At 36.6% G+C, this 21,218-nt stretch overlaps 2 long non-coding RNA genes across 2 annotated transcripts in view; both read right to left on the bottom strand.

The window, feature by feature from the left end:
• The window catches only part of LOC124901815 (uncharacterized), a 60,048-nt gene extending 44,063 nt beyond the window's left edge, over window positions 1-15,985 (bottom strand). Inside the window, exon 1 of the long non-coding RNA XR_007060646.1 lies at window positions 14,469-15,985. This is a non-coding gene — a long non-coding RNA (uncharacterized LOC124901815). The remainder of the gene's footprint in view (window positions 1-14,468) is intronic.
• Window positions 15,986-16,153: 168 nt separating this feature from the next.
• The window catches only part of LOC102724495 (uncharacterized), a 63,056-nt gene continuing 57,991 nt past the window's right edge, over window positions 16,154-21,218 (bottom strand). Inside the window, exons 2-3 of the long non-coding RNA XR_428238.2 lie at window positions 16,333-16,373; window positions 16,154-16,185 (exon numbers count right to left, since the gene is read on the bottom strand). This is a non-coding gene — a long non-coding RNA (uncharacterized LOC102724495). The remainder of the gene's footprint in view (window positions 16,186-16,332; window positions 16,374-21,218) is intronic.

Here is a 21,218-nt window from a genome sequence, read left to right as displayed (position 1 = left end):
GAGTGGCTGGAACACAGGGTTCCTAAGCTGCACACAGCACAAGGACCCTGAGCCCAGCCCATGAAACCACTTTTTCCTCCTGGGCCTCTGGACTTCTGATGGGAGGGGCTGCTGTGAAGGTCTCTGACATGGCCTGGAGCCATTTTCCCCAAGGTCTTGGGGATTAACATTAGGCTCCTTGCTACTTATGCAAATTTATGCAGCCAGTTTGAACTTCTCCCCAAAAAATGGGTTTTTCTTTTCTATCACATTGTCAGACTGCAAATTTTCCAAACTTTTTTGCTCTGTTTCCCTTTGAAAACTAAATGCTTTTAACACACCCAAGTCACATCTTGAATGCTTGGCTGTTTAGGAACCTTTCCCACCAGATACACTAAATCATCTCTCTTAAGTTCAAAGTTACACAAATCTCTAGGGCAGGAGCAAAATGCCACCAGTCTTTTTGCTAAACATAACAGGAGTCATCTTTGCTCCAGTTCCCAAAAAGTTTCTCATCTCCATCTGAGAACACTTCAGGCTGGACCTTATTGTTAATATCACTATCAGCATTTTTGTCAAAGCCATTCAACAAGTCTCTAGGAAGTTCCAAACTTCCCGCATTTTTCAGTCTTCTTCTGAGCCCTCCAAACTGTTCCAACTGCTGCCTACTACCCAGTTCCAAAGTCACTTCCACATTTTCGGGTATCTTTTCAGCAACTCCCCACTCTACTGGTACCAATTTACTGTACTAGTCCATTTTCATGCTGCTGACAAAGACATATGTAAGACTGGGAAGAAAAAGAGGTTTAATTGGATTTACATTTCCACATGGCTAGAGAGACCTCAGAATCATGGTGGGAGGTGAAAGACACTTCTTACATGGCAGTGGCAAGAGAAAATGAGGAAGAAGCAAAAGTGGAAACCCCTCAGATCTTGGGAGACTTATTCACCATCAGGAGAACAGCATGGGAAAGAGCTGCTCCCATGATTCAATTACCTCCACCTGGATCCCTCCCACAACACGTGGGAATTCTGGGAGAGACAATTCAAGTTGAGATTTGGGTGGGGGCATAGCCAAACCATATCAATACCCAAAAGAAAGGAAAGCAGTATATTGAAGAGATATCTGCACTCCCATATTTGTTGCAGCACTGTTCACAATAGCCAAGATTTGGAAGCAACCTAAGTGTCCATCATCAGATAAATGGATAAAGAAAATGTGGTACATATACACAATGGTTTACTATTCAGCCATAAAAAAGAATGAGATCCTGTCATTTGCAAAAACATAGATGGAACTGGAGATCATTATGTGGAGTGAAATAATCCAGTCACAGAAAGACAAACATTGCATATTCTCACTTATTTGTGGGATCTAAAAATTAGAACAACTGAGCTCACGGACACAGAAAGTAGAAGGATGGTTACCATAGGCTGGGAAAGGTAGTGAGGGACTCTGAGGGAGGTGGGTTTATGAGTACAAAAACAAATAGAAAGAATGAATAAGACCTACTATTTGATAGCAAAACAGGGTGACTATAGTCAATTATAACTTAATTGTGCATTTTAAAATAACTAAAGGAGTGTAATTAGATTGTAACATGAGGGATAAATGCTTATGGGGATGGATCCCCCATTTTCCATAATGTGATTATTTCACATTGCATGCCTGTATCAAAACATCTCATGTACCCCACAAATGCATACACCTACTCTATATTCACAAAAATTAAAAAGAAAATAAAAGAAAAACAGAACTAATAATATCACAAGTTCAATTATACAAAAGGGAAAAAGAGAGAGAATTAAAGGTGAGGGGAGAATTGGACAGAACGAAAAGAATTCTGGAAGTCCTAGATAGTAGTTCACAAACTTTAGTGTGCATCAAAATCACTTGGAGGCACTAATTACTGGGTTATATTCCCAAATTTCTGAATTAGCACATCAGGGATGGAGCCAAGAATGTTCATTTCCAACAAGTTCCCAGATACTGTTGATGCTTCTGCCCAAGGACCTCACGTAGAAAACCCCATAGGCTTAAGGAAGTGAGCTGTGAGTAGGGGGAAGATGAAGGAAATGGATAACACCAGAAAAATTATAATTGCCCTCCTAAAAAGGCATTACATTAATATTCCATCAAAAAAACTGATAAAAGGCTGTGATTGGTAACTTACAATACATTGGTAAAGTTTGATTGTTATTACTGTTTTAAGTAAGTAGAATTAAGATGACCATATATCTAGGCTTGTCTGAGAGAGTCTTAATTTTCTCCAATTTCCCAGCATAACAATTAGTAGCACTCCCTTTCTTTCTTGAGAGTAACCCAATTGAAACAATAAATTATATAGTTACCTTCCTTTTTCATAAGAATGAAATACAAAATATATGGAAGCTGTAAGGATGCTTCTTCTCTGTCTGCCTGGGCAAGAAATTAAATGAGCTGGTGCAAAGAAGCAACAAAGATCTTTATCTACTTAATGCCCTTTCAAAGGATCTTTGAAAAATACTGAGTAGCAGACACTGCTCAAGATAGAGAGACAGTACTGTATACACCAAGCAGAGAAAAAACAATGAGTACCAGACTTGGAGCCAGGATGATTAATAGCTAGGTATTTCTTAGCCCAGAGAAAAGGTATGCCTTTTGGTGGCTGGGCCTTCTCAGGACACTCTTATAGGCAGGAAATAGCTATTAATCTCCAGATATTCTGACTCTGGGCATCTGAGAAAGAGTCAGAAAAGAATCTTGTTTTTCTACCAACAACTCAGGGAATTCAGATGTATGGCATCCATTGACCATAGTTTGAAGAGCACTTCAATCAACTTCATCAAAGTTTGATGTTTTACTCTTCCCAGTAGAAATGACATTTTAAAAGCTTAACCCAAAGGAATGAATTTATAACAAAAGAAATCCAGAAATCAACTAAATATATACCAGAAGAGCACACAGGCACTCCTTTTCTCCACATAGAGAGGCCTATGTTAGGTCCAAGATCTCAATTCCATCCTTCCAGTACCAAAATAGAAGAGCAGGCTGGAAGAAGAAGGTCATCACAGTGGGTAGAACCTGGAATTAGAGCATCTGTAACTACCTCGCCTCCTTCATGAAATTAGAAGTTCTCTAGTACTATCAGTAAATCATGGCGGGAGAATCCTTTAATTACTTCCATAAAATTCCTCAGGTCCCAGAACATCAAGCATTGTAATTTGGGTTGGAGGAGTCCTCCACAGTTGTCATGGGAGATATGATAGCATTTTATAATCTGAAGGCACCTTGAGTGCTATAACCTGAAATTTCCTTTATTCAGTAGAATTTTAATCAAGTTTTCTCTGGCTTGATTTCTTTTTGTTTTTCTCTGTAATGTAACACTTGGGCAAGATTCAATTCTGACATCTTAAGGTCTGAATAAATATGCATTTTCCATTGAATTGATGATATAGCCATGCCGAGTGTATCCTTGACATTGTATCACCTTCTTGGTCATACATTGACATTATAATGTTATTTACTACAAAATTACATTGACAGCATCTTAGGAAAACTGAGAGAGCATTTTAGTTGCAATCAAAGAGAATATTGAAGCACATTTTGACAAAAACGACTTGGAGGGAAAAAAATAACACTACCAAATAGTGCCTCAACAAAATCGTCACAGATTTCAGAAAACAATTTAACTATATGAATGCTAGTTAGCAGTTTATTCTGGATCAATGACAGATAAGTGATTGAACTTTATTGAGAAAGACTTCCTCAAGAAATATAAAAGAGAATTTTGGCTGTCTCAGGAAGCAAAACAGAATTGAGAATCCTCTGCTTTTATTTTCAAGTACAAGGTAATATGATCACCTTCTCTTCACAGATTTTGCCAGATAACTATAAAAATTATAATCCACATCATAATGAATATTTTGTAAGTACGCATCTAGAAACATATATTTTAGTATAGAGGTAAGCCACAGAAGTATAGCATTTTGTTATTTTAATTTTAGAATAGGCCGGCAACCTATTTAATCCCAGAGCTTCATTTTGGACACATTGTTCAGGCTTATATTGTCAATATTTCCTCTTAGATCTGCATGTCTATTTCTCTCACATTACATCCCACTAAGTATTTTGGGCAGTGGAAGGAAAAACGAAAAAGTAAAATCATAGTAACTAGCATTCACAAAATGCCAGCTATACACCAAACACCATACTAACCAAGCACATTACATGTAAAATCTCATTTACTCATGACAAGAACCTTATGAAGAAATACAATTATTATTCACACTCTACAGATAAAGAAAGTAACCACTGCAAAGGACAAACACTTCTCTATAGACACATACCTAGTAAGCAATGGAGTTGGGATTTGAACATGTCTGGCTCCAGCTATCACTCCTCTTGGAAAGAAAAGAAATGGAAAAAGTGAGGCCAGAGCGTGTGGATGGTGGAAAGGAGTCAAATACATCTACAAATGCTCCCAGCCCATCCTCATGGTTGCCATTCCTCTTTCCAGTTGGAAATCTGGTGGAAGGGAAAGGTCTCTGACCCAAAGCCATGATGAGTGAAGCCAGAGGGAGATTTACTAGACCTTTATTGAGAGATGTTGCTGAAGTTCATCACCCAAGCAGTGATCTTCAGGGCAAGGAAATACAGTGATCCCACCAGAAATCTAGTGGACAGTCTGAGGGAGAGCCAAAAAAGTTTCCAACCTGTAGACAGCTGGGCAGGAGTCTCTCTGGTCTCTCTGAATAAACATCAGAGACAGCAGCAGCTGGGCTTCAGAGATTGGCTCACAACCAGTAAATTATGCAGATCCATTAATGTTCCATCATTGGTAGCCATATTAATTTAAGAACTTAGATGAGGGGTGTTTTTAGTTCCAAATTCTTCTTTCTTACTGTTAACTAAAATATTTGTCAAGATCTTCTGTCCATAGTGAAATCCTGTCAAGTAGCATCCAAATTCAGTTCTGAACATCATTGACTTCTTTCCTAAAAATATCATTTGCTGAGTGATCAAGAAAATGTGAACAGTATTTGACCTGAAACTATTTAGGATAAAAATTATGTAAACTTCTTTCTTAATCAATTATTCAATACTATAATGTAAATTAACTTTTTTGTTGATATGAGTGCATAGTATACCAAAATAATCACACTCTCAGCCTCGATGTCAAATGATCCCAACATTTGTTCACTAGAATCTACTTCTAAAAGAATCACTCATCTGCATTATTTTTCAATTATAAACTTATGAGGGTTCAATAAAACAAGTGATTTTCAAGGGACTTTCAATTAAATGAACTTGCTTAGTTGTGTTCAATTAAGCACTAGACATAGAAGATGGGTGATTTTCAATATAAGAAAATATGCTACCAATGTGTTGCTTTGAGTCTAGGGGAAAAAAGTCATTTCTTAAATAATTAACTTGAATACAGCTATCACTTGAATCCCTGAATCTATTGCTAGAAATAATTACTGGTGAATTAGCTTTATATTTGATAATTTATAATATGGAATGTATATTATTCCATTTCATATATATGTGTGTGTATATATATGTACATTTATACATATATGTGTATGTATACCTACACATATATATGAAAGAAAAGAGAATACACACACACACACCTGTTTTAATGGCTCTAATAGGTTATAATTATATTGACAGAACATTTCAAAAAACATAATAACATGGAAATATTATTTGGTTAAAGGTCATGAAAAGATCATAGAAAGAACTACAAGTTACTGTCTCAAACTTCCCCTTTCCTTAATTATCCAATTCACATTCTTCATCATTTTTTCAAACTTTTCTTTATCTTTTCTAGTTCTTTAGGTGGTTAACTTCTCTTTCCTAAACAGTTTTGTATCTAAATTTTATTGTGTAGTTGGCTTTCATATATAGGCTATTGAGTTTCTGCTATTGAGTTTCTAATATGATAAATAAGGATGATCTTCCCCATACTCTTTCATCTACTTCTTCTGCTAATATTGTTTTGTCACTGCTCTGATTAATTGAGTATGCAAATTCAAACAAGATATGTAAACCTACATTTCTTATTCTGAAAACCACAACCCCTTGACTTCTCATTTGATAAGCTGATGTTGCCAGCAAGGGTCAGTCAGGTGGAGACTGATAAGTACATAAATTTTCTCCCTATCAAAGAAAAGTGCTAAAATTATATTTCCTACTATATAGGTCCAAGACTATGACACTTGTGCTCCACAAAAGAGAAAGTTTTAGCATGAAGTTTAAATGGACTATCCTTGTCTTATGTCTTTATCATCTCTGAATTTTTTTCTAAGCTCTCAATCATTCTATATTCTATTAAATCTCCTTTTATCCCTGGAGAACTCTCTACCCAGATCTTCTGATCTCCTAATTGGGTCTGAGTTTCCTGGTACTTGTATTAACTCATCTAGTTATTTCCCAGAAAGCTTATAGTCCTTTTCAAGTTTTAAAAATTTTGACAGCTCTTTTAAGGTATAATTGACATGCAATTTTACATGCAATTAGATTTTTATATTTAAATATTTTAGACTTAGAAAAGAGTTGCAAATATAGTGCAGAGTTCCCATATATCCTTCACCTATAATCCTCTAATGTTAGCATTTTACATAATCCCATGCAAGGATAAAAATTTTAAAATTGACATTGGTACAATACTGTATTACTCAGGGTTCTCCAGAGAAGCAGAACCAATAGGATATGTAGAGTTATGTAAGAGGGGACTTATGGGAATTGGCTCACGTTATTATGGATGCTAACAAGTCTTACAAAATGCCACCTGCAAGCTGGAGAACCAGAAATGCCAGTGGCATAATTCAGTCTAAATCCAAAATCCTGAGAACCAGGGGAGGCAATGGTGTAACTCTCAGTCCGAGGCAGTAGGTCTGATAAATCTGCTGATGCAGGTCCCAGGGTTCAAAGGCGTAAGGACCAGTTCAGCTGTCCATGGGCAGGAGAACATGGATATCCCAGCTCAAAAAGAGAGAGGATTCACCCTTCCTCTCTGCCTTTGTGTTTTATTTGGACCTTCAATGGTTTGAGAGATGACTGCCCACATCGATGATGGTGGATCTTTACTTGGTACACTGACTCAACCCAGAAATGTTTTTACCAGCTATCTGAACATTCCTTAGCCCAGTTTAACCATCACAACTGCATAAAACTACTCAGGTGATGGATGCATTAAAATATCAGAAGCAAAGATTCCTGTACCCATACAGTTATTTTTTTAAATTAACCATTATGAACAGTATTTACTAAATTGTGGATTTTATTTAGATTTCACCAGTTTTCCCACTAACATTCTTTTTCTGTTCCAGTATCCAGAATCCAGCATTGCTTTCAGCTTCCATAGTTCTCTTTTAACCTATTATAGCTCCTAAGGCTTCCTTGTATTTTATAACTTTGACTTACTTAAAGCTTAACTGTCAGGTATTTTGTAAAAAGTTCCTCAGTTTGGGTTTTGTCACATATATATCTATATGTGTGTGCCTCATCATGTATATGCTTTGATTTTAAAATACAGAACCAGTCTTGCATCTATTGGATGAACTGCCCTTGGTTGTATCTCTTTTTTATATTGCTGGATTCTATCTGATAATATTTTGTTGAAGATTTCTCTGTCTACAATCTAATCTTTTTGATGTATCATTTGATGCCTATCATTAATAGGCTTTTTTTAAAACCCAGCCAGTAGTTCTTCAAATATCATTTTTTCTTGTTCTCTTTCTCTATTTTCCTTCTCAAATTCTAATCATGTATATAGTAGGTCATTTGATACTGTCCGAACTTACAGGAATGCTGTTTGGAGTTTTGGGTTTAGTTTTTTTGCTTCTTTCCACATTTTATGTTTGTGTTTGAATAACTTTTTATAGGCCTAATTTCAAGTTCACTGATTCTTTCCTTGTCTGTCTTGATTTTCCTAATGAACCTTTAAAAGACATTCTTCATCTCCTTACTGTTTTTCATTTCTAGCATTTCTATTATTTCTTCTAGTTTTCATTTCTCTACTGAAATTAATCACCTGATAATTGATATAACACCATCATTACAGTGTTTAACATATTAATTATAGTTATTTTAAATTTTCTTTAAAATAATCCAAATATCTGTATCACATCTGAGTTCAATTTTTACAGTGGTTTTCCTTCTTCTGATGCAATTTTTTTCTTGTTTTTTCATATGCTTTGCAAATTTGTCAGGTATCTTATGCAGGACAATAGAGACTGAGGTAACCAACTTTTTATCCCTGAAACTGGGCATATTTTTTCCTCTGCTATGCCTTTAATGCCGGAGCTTCAGGTAATATAATTAGGAGATGGACTGTTTGAGGTTTGTTTCTCCAATGGTTACCGTCATTGCACACAGTCTTTAAATTTTTCTAGAAATATCTTTAAAAAAACAGCGTCTAATTTGTTTGGTTTTGTTTTTCAATGTCTGGCTCACCCTCAGCTATTAGTCATCACTCTGCTCACCTCAGAGTGTATCATGCAAACTAATTGCTACTTAACACTTCTTAGCCTGGTGGTAAGGAGTTCAAGGTAGTCTTTTTTGTTAAAATTAAACTTGTTTTATCCAGATGCAATGTCCCTTACCTCAATATGTTTGCCCTGTTGGTAATTTAAGTATTTCCCTGCCCCTTCACCAGAGACAGGTTTTTCTAGTTCTCTTCCTCAACTGCATTCTGTTTTCACAAGTGTCTTAATAGCAAAAGTGTTTTATTTTCCCTGTCCCCATAGATTAAGCCTCCTGTCCTACAGAGTTCGAAGAAAAGTGCTCTGATAGAGTTTAGTGCCCCTTCTACACAGTATCTACTCTTCCCCACCCAGATTTTTACCATAAGGGAGACTTTTTGAAGTTGTCCAAATCTTTGCTTTGAGTCCCAGCAGGATTCATGGAGTGAAAAAAAAACATGCAATAGGATGAAATGTCCTCTCTCATTAGTACAGCCTTGATTAGCCCCCAGCATTGTACCACTCTTTCTAGTTAAACTCTTCTTTCCTATATCTGGCTATATCTTTCCCAGTAAACCAATGCTCATGAATTTTCCATCCCTGAAGTCAGGAGTATCTCTTTAAATTGTCAGGCAGTTGGTTTCTCTGTAATCTCAGCACTCCTAAGTCATAAACTTACTGTTTGTCCATTGGAAGATGATGGTGGTGATGATTAAAAAGATAGTAGGAACACTTTTTTCATCTCTCTATATCCCCAAGTGGAAAACTGATTGTGGTACTTTTTGATTTATAATTGTGTTTGCCAGAGTTCATACTCAGTAACTTAAAGAAAGAAGGGGAGGACTGTATGGTGTGTAAGTATTCCAAATACTTAGATGTCTGAGTATAATTGTGTTCTTTGTTCACATTTGATTGCAGTTTTGCTAGGCTTAAAATTCTAAGTTAAAAATTATTTTCCCTCTAAACTCTGAAAGACTTTCTCAGTTGTCTTCAGCATCTAGTGTTGCTAATGACAAATCTGATCCCATTCCAGTATGTATTTCTTTGGTAGTGGCCTAATTTGGCCTTCTAGAAAATCAATAGTCTTCTATTCATCCTTAGAACTCTGAAATTTAAGAAAAATAGCTTCAGATTTGCATTTTTTTATCCACTGTGCTTAGCATTTTTTCAGTAGTTTCTTCAATTTTTGGCTGCTTTTTTTCAGAGCTGTAAGTTATAATCCTTGATTTCTTGTTTGTCTTTTTATAAAATTAGTTTATGCTTATGGAGTACAATGTGATGTTTTGATCTATGTGTACATTGTAGAAACATTCTGTCATACTGACATATCCATCACCTAACCAAATTTTTTTATGGTGAAAATGTTAAAAATCTATTCTTTTAGCAATTTTGAAATATACAATACATTTTTATTAACTTTCGGTTAACATGCAGTGCAATCGATTAGTAAAATGTATTCCTCCAGTCTAACTGAAAGTTTGTACTCTTTGATCTACATCCCGCCATCCTCACCCCTCCCTGATTCATTCCTCCACTTTATTATCTGATTCTATGAGTGACTTTTTGGATCCCACATGAGAGAGACAGGAAGCAGCCAAACGCCTATGCAGATAGGGGTGGGTCTGTAGTGAAACCCTACCTCCAAGCTGAAGACAGTTTAAAGCCTGAAAGCCCAGCTACAAGTTAAATCCTCAGACCAGATTGAGAAGTTTTCTTCCCGTTTGGCATGCTTTCCTCTGATTGTTCCCCATCCTTCACCTATTTTACGTACACCTACCCTTTCCTAATTGGTTTTCTACACTGCCATGCCCACCTTTGAGTAGTGTCTTCGCTTCAATCTTTTTTCCATACTCACAATCCAGTCAGCACACACTCCCCATTCTAAGTCCATAAGAGGCCCCAGCCACACAGGAAAAGCCTTCCTGCCTTCGGGTAGGGGAACCACCCCCTGTATCCCCGCTCTGCTGAGAGTTTTCCTTTAACTTAATAAATTCTACTCCACTCACTCTCCAGTGTCCGTGTGCCTAATTCTTCCTGTTCATGAGAAAAGAACTTGGACCTAGCTGAGCTAAGGAGCAGAAAGACTGTATCACACGTGTAAGTGACAAAATACAGTATTTCTTCTATGCATAGTTTATTTTACTAAGAATATTACTAAGGAGAGTGTCCTACAGCTCCATCTATGTTCCTGCAAATGACAGTCTTTCCTTCTTTTTTAAGGTTGCATAGTATCCCACTGTGTGTATGTAAGACAACATCTTTATTCAGTCATCCATTGATGGATACTAACATTTCTTCCATATCTTGGCTATTGTGAATAATGCAGAAATGAACATGGAGATGTCTTCAACATTTCTATTTCAGTTTTTTTGCATATATACCCAGAAGTCAAATTCTTGGATTATATGGTAATTCAGATTCTCCCTCTCTTGGTAATCTAAGCATGAGCTATAGAAGAACTTAAAGAGCTGATAAGAGGAGCTGAAAATATGCACAGAAAGAGAGGTCATGAAATATCAGTATCATAGTGGGCCACAAGTAAAAATATGATTATGTGTATGTTAAAATTAAGCCAAAACTGAAATAGATAAAAGATGTTTTTATAATAGAGAGTGAAGCAAATGATTGTAGTAGAAGCAGAAATGAGGAAGAGTATATTCCTCAGTGCAGGAAATGGAAGCTCTCCTACTGATGAACGCTAAAGCTTCTTAGATTTTCTTGGAGCCTCAACTACTTTCTAGGGTCTATGATCTCTGGTTTATTTCTGTACAACATTCTTGTCCTCATTCTCATATGCAATATAACCACAGTTTTACAATTCAAGATAACCTGGGTCTGTTTCTAGCTACCAAAATAACCTAGCACATTTCCTCAAGTAGACCATAAGCGGTTCAAGTGTCCAATTCTTTGCATGCACCACAACATCTGAGTTTTAAACACCAGAGATTCTTGATGTGTTCATTCAATGGTTCTAGAAACTAGAAAAGAGATGATGCTCCAATCTAGAGATTAGAGAAGTGGTGAGTGTACCTACAATGTTTCATACTGCTATCAAGTATTAAAGTATTGCTCTTGATATACACACAACAAATTGGAGTTTACTTAAAGCACAAATTGTGACAGGCCATAACTTCTTTAGCTGGTTATCACAAAACCACCATACTCTGAGACCTTCTAAAACATCCCCGTGGTGAGTCAACAGAAGTCTATAAATCTAGTTAAGATGCTTGGATTTGTTCTCCCTCAGAAGACAGTAACACAAGACAAGCTGCAGCCTGAGGTCATCATGCATTTGATTCATGACGTTTTTCTTGTTAGGTTATACCTGCTATGAATGAATAGTCTGAGAATTTCTTACACAAATGTAATGAAAAATATAAAGTGTTCATCCTAGGAAAGGAATGGAAATGATGAATAGAAAAAGAATTTCTACTCTAAGCTTGTGATGTCAAAATGTTTATAATAAAAAATAATTTATATGATGCTTTCTGGCATTTGGCTTAAACATAAATGTTTTATCTTTAATATTACTTTAAAATATAACACTAGTGCCAGTGAAGCTGGATTATCTATATATTCAAGTCTATTTTACCTTAATACATAAATATTTTATTTATTAAAATACTGTTTTGTTATTAATCACAAGTGAAAGCTCCTGAATATAGTCATAAGTTTTGCTTGTTTTTTCAATATTCCATATGTGTAAGAAGAAATTTACATAGACTATTTGTAGTTTCAAAGTAAAAAAATATTTTCTAATGAATATCACATTTTATTAATTTTTAGTTCAATATTCAGGATTGATTTTTAGTTTTCAAAGTGATGAGTGGGTTTTTTTCTTATTATTACAATCCACTAATAATAGAACCCATCTGTTTCTTAAATAGGTTATGTAGGAAATCAACTATCTTTACTTCAAGTATTATTAAGACAAAAATACAATGACTTAATATATACTTATAAAGGTGAATTAATAAAAATTTTCAGCTGGTCTAACAAATTGTTTTAATAGTGATAGTTTGACTATAGCATGTTTTTTTCTCCAAGGACATGGTCTTTACCTTAGACCTTGAAACTGAGAGAAATTCACTATGAATTAAGAACACTTGTCATGAGGAACACAGAAATAGTATTGATTGAATTGTTATGTGGTAAACATTTCTATAGGCTTTCTCACAAACGATATAGAGAATTTCCAAAATAATACTGTGACATCTTTCCTTGGAAAAAAAAGAAATTGAGTCATATTTAATATCTTTACATTTAGATGTTAGCTTTTGATACTACTAGAGGAAACTAAAGATAAATCCATACTGCTCCACCAAAAAAAAAGTGTCAGTTAAGAATATTACTAAGTCTAGACTGCATAAGTAAGATAAAACAGCCAAGTCAATAACAGATCTCTTCTTCTTTAAGAAAAAAAATTATTCAGTAAAAGGTTTCACTTCTCACATAACTTTGAGGGAGATGCATTATCTTTCAGATTCATAACACCAAGGGAGCAAGGAGCCTAAATGTAGGAGCCTGGTCGTGAATTGAGACTAGAGCTGTTAGCACACTCTTCCTATTTGGAAGAAACCTAAGACCACACAAGCCAAGCCATTTGGTCTTCTAATGTTTAGCCCTAGAGCGGGAGCAAGCCCTATATTCATGATCCCAAGAAACATCAATCATATACAAGCCACTCCTATCTGGAGGACAAGCAGACCATGAGGCTATTCTGCTTTTAATAAAGGATGAGAATTGTATTGAATGAAGCAAAGGATTAGTGCAAGTCACTCTCTCTAGAGCATTCAATAAACCTTTCTCCTGCCTTTTTAAAATTAATCCATTTAAGTGAGATAGAGTTGATTAAAATAAGATCTTCCCCAGAACTCTTAAATCTTGCTTCTAATTTCAGGGACTCCATATACCAACAACTTCTGAAACATTACTTACAACTATCTAATATTGATAGTAGCAGGAGACAGAAAAATCCCTAGGCAGATGGGGCAGGTCCCCAGTGAAACCACACCTTCAAACCAAGGACAGTTTAAAGCCTGTAGCCAAGCTACAAGTCTCAGATAAAGACTTGTATGGACTGGATTGAGAACCTCTCTTCCCATTTGGCATGCTTTCCTCTGAATGATCCCTACACTTCACCTATTTTGTATACACCTCCCCTTCCCTAATTGGTTTTTTAACATTATCATGCCCACATTTGAGTGGTGCCTTTTAGGTTTTTTTTGGTATACTCACAAACCAATCACCATGCATTCACCCATTCTGAACTCACAAAAGCCCCAGACCCAGCCACAATGAGAGAGGGACTGCCTGACTTTGGGTAGGGAGGACTACCCACCTTCAAGTGGAGGACTACTGCTTCGAGTCCCCTCTACACTGAGAGCTGTTCCATTGCTCAGTAAAACTTTTCTCCACCCTTCTCACCCTTCGGTTGTCAGTGTAACCTCATTCCTCTTGGAGGCAGGACAAGAACTTGGAACCCACCAAACATGAGTACAAAAAAGTCTGTAACACTGTGACCCTCTGCCCTCTGCTGGCATGGGGTAGCTGACCCATGTAACAGGAAGCAGTGATGGCACTGGACCAGCCCTGGAGCCACAGGCCACAGTGGGGCAGTGGGACTGAATGAGCTGTAACAGAGGAGGGCTGGGAAACACTGAGCCCAGCTGCAGGCTGAGCATGAGATCCAGGCCAGGGCACAAGCTACACACAGCCTGCATAGCCAAGTGGGCGGGATACCTCCAGCAGCAAGTCAAGGGCTGAGCAGGGCTTGGGCAGGGATATCACAGGCCACAGAGGTCTCCAGCTGGTGAAGCGGCACCAAAAATATCCTGCATCAATATGGTTAGTACACTGATACAAAAATTGAAATAATTTGCCCAAGATGACACTCAGGAAATGGCAAGAAAGAGGACTGGAACTCTCAGCAGCCTAATTCCAAAGTTCTTGCTCTAACCCCTTGCTGAGTTTTAGTGCCACAGCATTAACTATAATTATGTGGAGACAATGTAGAGAGGGAAGAAATTTCTCACCTTCTCCTGCAATTTCAATAAGTTATTTGAATTCTTTGTGGATCCTCCTCTTGACTTCAAAGTATTAGGGTTGATTTGTGTGTTTTACACCTGTATGCACATGCAAACAGAAAGAAACGTGTGTGTGTGTGTGTGTTTCTGTGTGAGTATTTACAAATACATGCCATTTATTGAAACTATTCAGTATGGACACATTCTCTCAGCATTACTTTGAGTTGAGAGCAATTGAGGAGTAGAAACAAAGAAAATCTGCTTTTCCTCCCCTCTCTATCAGAAAAAGCAAGAGTATTCTTAATCACTGGAGACAGTTCTAAACTCGTTAGACTAGAGAAAGCATCAGTGGAATCTATGCAGCAAACCTTGCTAAAATAACCTTCTTTCATTGGTTTCTACCATATACTTGCCTTTTCACAGCTGCTGTCCCTAAAAACCAGAAGCATTTTTCTTTCCTTTGTAATTCCTCTACAAATGTATTTTTCTTTTGTTAAGATGCTTCATATTCCCCAAGTCCTAACCCCTTCTTTGGGTTACTCATCCACTGAGTACCCCCAGTTGCATAATGCCCGCTAATAAGCTTCTTATTAGCTTTTTTTGTTGTTGTTTTTCTCTTGTTAATTTGACTTTTGTCTGTCTACTTTTCAGAATCCTAGTCAATGAACCCAAGATGAGTAGAGGAAAACTCCTCAACACTTACGTTTCTTTTCGAAGTCCTCTTGAGTCTTAAACAGAAGAGAGGGCTCGTATGCATGAGCAAAAGGATTTTTTAAATCTTAGAATAAGGATTTAAAAAAATAAACATTTCCACTTTCAAATAAACATCCCTCCAAAAACCTTCAAAGTATTAAATCATGGATACATTAGATATTGCATAGGATAAAAAAGATGAACCCTTTATGATTAATCATTCATCACAGTATTAAAAAATGAGATGCTATAAATATGCTCACAAGGTTATGCATTCTAATACTACATACTGAATGCTTTTCCAGAGAAAAGTAAGAAAAGTGAAGCATTAAGCAATAAAAAAAGAAAACTATAAGAGCAGACATGGGAGTATTAATAATAACCAAAGATATGTCAATCTTTTAGAAGTCTTGGATAATAGAATTTTATAGTAAATCTCTATCTATATCTAGTAAACAATCCTGGTTTTCAATTTAAAACCCTATGTTTATGCCAGCAGAACTGACAAGTCCTACCAAGATTAAAAGAAAATTATTTGTCATTGAAGACCTCTCATCTTGCTAAGGAAACAGAAATATTAAAGATAACTTACTAAAAGTTATATTCAGAAACACCATCTATTTAACAATATTGCATTTGGTTAAGAAAAAAATTACAAACTTTGAGATCTTAAAAAAAAAAATAAGAAAAAATCATTTCTTTTGATTCACTTAAAGCTACTTTCTGCCATTCTGCTTTCAGAGTTTCAACAAAGGCATAGGCTGGGTGTTCTGGCTTACACCTATAATCCCAACATTTTAGAAGGCCAAGGCAGGGAGATCACTTGAGTCCAGGAGTTTGAGACCAGTCTGGGCAACATGGCAAGACTCTGTCTTTACAAGAAATTAAAACTTACCCAGATGTCGTGGCGCACACCTGTAGTCCCAGCTACTTGGGATGCTGAGGTGGGAGGATTGATTTAACCTAGAAGGTTAAGGCTGCAGTGATCCATGATTGTACCTCTGCACTCAGCCTGGGTTACCAGAGTGAGACTCTGCCTCAAAGTAAATAAATAAATAAATAAATAAACAAACAAAAACATAAACCAAATACATAAATAACATCATCAATATCTACATACAATAAAATAGTTTTACTATTTAATTATAAATTCAAAAACAGGAATTAAATATTTAAGTACCTTCTAAATGTGAAGAATGTAAGGCTCCAAGAGCCTAGTACCTATGGAGAAAACAGAAAATGGCTGTCAGAAACAAATCCCAGGAGCACTCAACAGAGACTACACTGAAAGTACTAGAAATGTACATGAACACAGAACACCCCCAAGAAAACTATATAAAATCAATTAAGAAAAACAAAAAATCTAGCTGGGCTTACAGTAAAATCAGCAGTAATTATTAAGCCAGCTTGCTCTTTGGCGCACTTTCTTATAGGTAGTTGCTGTTTATTATGTACCCCTTGTCACAGGATATTGTGTTTTTTTGTTTGTTTGTTTGTTTGTTTTACAGGTAAAATCTAAAACAAATAAAATAATAAACTTTAAATTTTCCCTTTAGATTTTGCATATTAATAAAAGTTGCTTGTCTGAAGGGCCCAGCAAGGAACTGACTCACGAAGAATGCAATATCCACATTCTGATGATTTTATCCCCCTTTCCTCGACCAATCAACAACCTCAACTTTCCAGCCCCTCACCTTCCACAATCCTCTTAAAGATCCTTGAGCAGCATCCCTTGAGGAGACAGATTTGAGGCTTGAGGATTCCTCCCATCTCCTTGCTTTTTGGTCTTGCTATTATTAAACTCTTTCTTTGCTGCAATCTCCACTGTCTCAGTATATTGATATGTTTCTGCAGAGCGGGCAAACAAACTTGCCAGTTTTGTAACAAACGTATAATCTGAACCTCTAGCCTATGAAAAAACACTTTTCTTAGCCATTCTACAAAGTCCAGAGTGTGATGTTTTAATATTAATTTAGACAATAAGCTGGCAATCTCGTAAGCATGTAACATCTATTGACTTCCTATCATGAATGAGGCTCAATGCATAGCTCTGAGGATTCAGACGTAAGTATGGAATGAATACTGCCTTATAGGAGGAGATAATCTAGTAGGAAAACAAACTCATGGAAAAGATAATGTTGAAATCATAATGCAAAAGACGCTGTAGCAATCATAATTACTGATAATAGAAAATGGCATCATTGTAATTGAAACATTTATTACGTTTACAATGTGCAAGGCACAATGTCAAAGCAATTTACAAGTATTAACTCACTGAATCCTCTATGAGACAAGTACTATTATTATAAATACCTTATTTTACTGATAAGGAATGGGAGGTTGAAGAAGTTAAGGTTATCCAGAAAGTAAAGGACAGACTATAGAATCAAACCCAGTCTGAGGCCTGGACTATCAAACATGCTGTTGTTGCCAATGAGTAAGAAGTCTATGGAAGCCTAGGGCAATGGAAGGGGAGAAAAAAAATATGCAATTTCTTTTCTCAATTCTCATAAGTTCTTAGCTGGGATACCTCTGTAACAAAAGACAGATTAGTGGAAAGGAAAGGTTTACAAATTTATTAACGGGCTTATGGACATGGGAGCCATACTACAAGGTATGAGGCTCAAGGGAGGGGTCAAATAACTGAAGTTTTCATTACACCCTCAGGTTACAGAAAGAATGCAGCTTGGAGGTCCTGGGGACAGGGAAATGTGGTATCACAGGTTATGAGAGAGTAAAGAGAAGAAAGTATGTCAAGCAAAGGCTGTCTTGTTACACACACGAAAATATTTCAGGTAATCTCAGAGCTGCCCTCAAAAAGAATAGATGGTAGCTTTTGTAAGGCTTCTCTGTCAGACCTTTAGAAGTATGAGACTTTGAGTCTCTTTTTTCTGTGAGTTAACCTTTCCTAGATCCAAGGGGGACCTCAGAGAAAGCCTGTTTTCATCTGTTGTTTACTTCATTTCACTAACATAGATTTCCTCTACAGATGCAAATGTCCCACAAACCAGGCAGCTTTTCAGGGCTATGTTTATGTTTTGCAGCCCCTCTGAATAGCCATATTAAAACAGGCCAAAGAAGTATATTTTGGGGTAAAATATTCTGGTTTTCGTCACAAGGGTACTTAGAATCAACTGGGGTATGGGAAAGGTTTTCTGGGAAGAGGGTATTCTGGGAAGTAGGAACAGGGAGCAAGAGTGTGGAGGTATGAAGTAGTCCTAGAGGTATCTGTCTCATTAATACAGCGTGAACTATGAGGTAGCTGGTGAGCTGAGTGAGGTTGGGGGCCTAGATGGATCAGGGGTGGTTTGGATGTTTTATCTTTTTCTTGTAGGCTACAGAGAGCCTATAACAAAATTTCTAATAGGGGAGTAAATAATATATTTGTATTAAGAGAGATCTGCTCAGTAGCTATGTGTTAGCAGCATGGGGAACAGTTTGAAGTAGGCAAGACTGGAAGTGTCACAGGTGTTTGAACCAGAGCAACTCCATCTTCAATAGGTGCTGGGTAAAATAAGGCTAAAAACCTACTGGTCTACATTCCCAGATGGTTAAGACATTCTAAGTTGCAGGATGATGGCACAAGATACAGGCCATAAAGACCTTGCTGATAAAACAGGTTGTAGTAAAGAAGCTGGCTAAAACCCACCAGAACCAAGGTGGCAATGAGAGTTAGCTCTGGACATCCTCACTAATACACTCCCACCAGCACCATGACAGTTTACAAATGTCATGGCAATGTCAGGAAGTCACCCTATATGATCTAAAAAGGGGAGGAATGAATAATCCACCCCTTGTTTATCATATAATCAAGAAATAAACATAAAAATGGGCAACCAGAGTCTCTGTCTATGGAGTAGCCATTCTTTCATTCCTTTACTTTTCTAATAAACTTGCTTTCACTTTACTCTATGGACTCACCCTGAATTATTTATTATGCAAGATCCAAGAACCCTCCCTTAGGGTCTGCATCCAGACCCCTTTCCAGTCACAGAAGGGTAAGATGACAGCTGAATAGAACCAACAGCAGAAGGCAGTGTTATTAACTTTGGGTTTTATAGCCTAACACATCATAAGTGCTAAGGCTATGTTAAACTTTCACACTTCTCCTTCAGATAGCCCAGCCCTTAACTGACATGCCATTAGTCTAAATATCATGCATTTCCTCCCCCTTCCCCCAATCAACATAACATAAATCTAGCATAGGGATTAGATAATTCTTTCAAATAAGCAAAAGATATTAGATATGTCTTTTATCATATTTCCAGACCAAAGAGAAAAGAAGAAAGTTCAGATGCCCAACACCCCAGTCCATTTTCTCAATGCTGGTGCCTGCCTCCCCAGCAAGAAACAAAGCTCCTAAACTCATGGGCACCAGGATGCTGGGGAAATGACTAACATGAAAGGGAGTTGGAAACTTAAAGTGCTAGATAAATATTAACACAAATGATTACATAAAATTCTGCATATTAGATATTTATATTTACCATCTGTTTGATTATTCAAGTTGTTGCTTACGAGATTGGCAGAAAAATGGAAAAACTAATTCTTTAATCAGTATGTGAACACCATAACACAGGCCTTGGAATTAAAAATACAAAAATGCTTCAGTCAGAGAGTATCCCTTCATTCTTGAAATTCTAAAACTACTTAGATGTTAATAGCATCTCCTGACTCTATTAAAGGTCAAATAAAACTTGTGAAGAAAAGCTCTCTTTTATACATATATTTGTTTCCTTTTATTTATGACAGCAAAGTTTTCATTAGCAACACAAGAATGCATTCTCAAGAGTGGATTCTTTTCACATAGTTTTGTTTTTTAAAGCATCAGCCTTAAGTAACTAAATATAATTTTTTTAACTTTTTTATATGACACAATAAAAATCATCTAAGCTATTAACTTTTGGAAATATAATTTGACCTAAGTACGAACTGGTTTCTCATTACTTTAAAAGTATATTTTGGCCAAAAAGGTAATTACCACAATTGTGTTATTTTAGATAGTTCTATGGTCTGAATGTTGGTGTTTCCACAAATTCATAGGATGCAACCTAAAACCCAATGCAATAGTATTAAGAGGTGGGGCATTTGGGATGTGATTAAGTTATGAGGGCCCCACTCTCATAAATTTTTGGTACTCCAATAAAAGAGGCTCAAGTTATCTCCCTTGCCCCTTCCACCGTGTGAAGTCACAGTTAGAAGGCGCCATCTTATGAGGCAGACAGCAAACGCTCATCAAACACGAAATCTGCTGGAACCTTAATCTTGGACTTCCCTGCCTCTAGGACTGTGAGCAATAATTTTCTGTTCCTTATAAATTACATAGCCTAAGGTATTTTCTTATATAGTAGCTCAAGTGGACTAAGAGAGATTTTCTAACGTATATCTATCTTTATTGTTTGTCTTAAATTACTATTCCTGTTTGTTATATATAACTCCTTCCACTAAGATTCTTTAATATTTTTTGTCACTGGATGATAACATGCCAAATAAAATGTGTACTAGTTTAATGTTTTCACGTGGTTAACAACATAGGTTATGTTTAATGCTTGACACCAAAGTATCCACATATTGATAATTCCCTAGATATATCAGGTTTCTGTGACAAAAAATCCAGTTGATGGGCTATGATTTTTATTTTTTAGTTAAAATATTATTCTATGTCACATATACAACATGTTCACTAGCTCCAAATCAAGGACAGGATAGCCTCAGTGAATAATTATTGATAAATATACTGAATCTGATTTCAGTGAAGCACTAGGTAAAATATTCCTGTCTTCTTTCTGTGTGTTTATTACTCTTTACAGAAATACAACCTGTCAAATCCTAGAAGCAGCAGTAGAAAAACAATAGGAATCTCCTCCTCTCTGGGCAGGGCATCTCTGAAAAAAAGGCAGCAGCCCCAGTCAGGGGCTTATAGATAAAACTCCCATCTCCCTGGGACAGAGCGTCTTGGGGAGGGGGCAGCTGTGAGCACAGCTTCAACAGACTTAAACGTTTCTGCCTGCTGGCTCTGAAGAGAGCAGTGGATCTCCCAGCACAGTGCTCAAGCTCTGCTAAGGG

Source organism: Homo sapiens, chromosome 7 (assembly GCF_000001405.40).
Source record: "Homo sapiens chromosome 7, GRCh38.p14 Primary Assembly".
Taxonomy (NCBI): Eukaryota; Metazoa; Chordata; class Mammalia; order Primates; family Hominidae; genus Homo; species Homo sapiens.
This window is presented reverse-complemented; position numbering and strand designations above follow the sequence as displayed.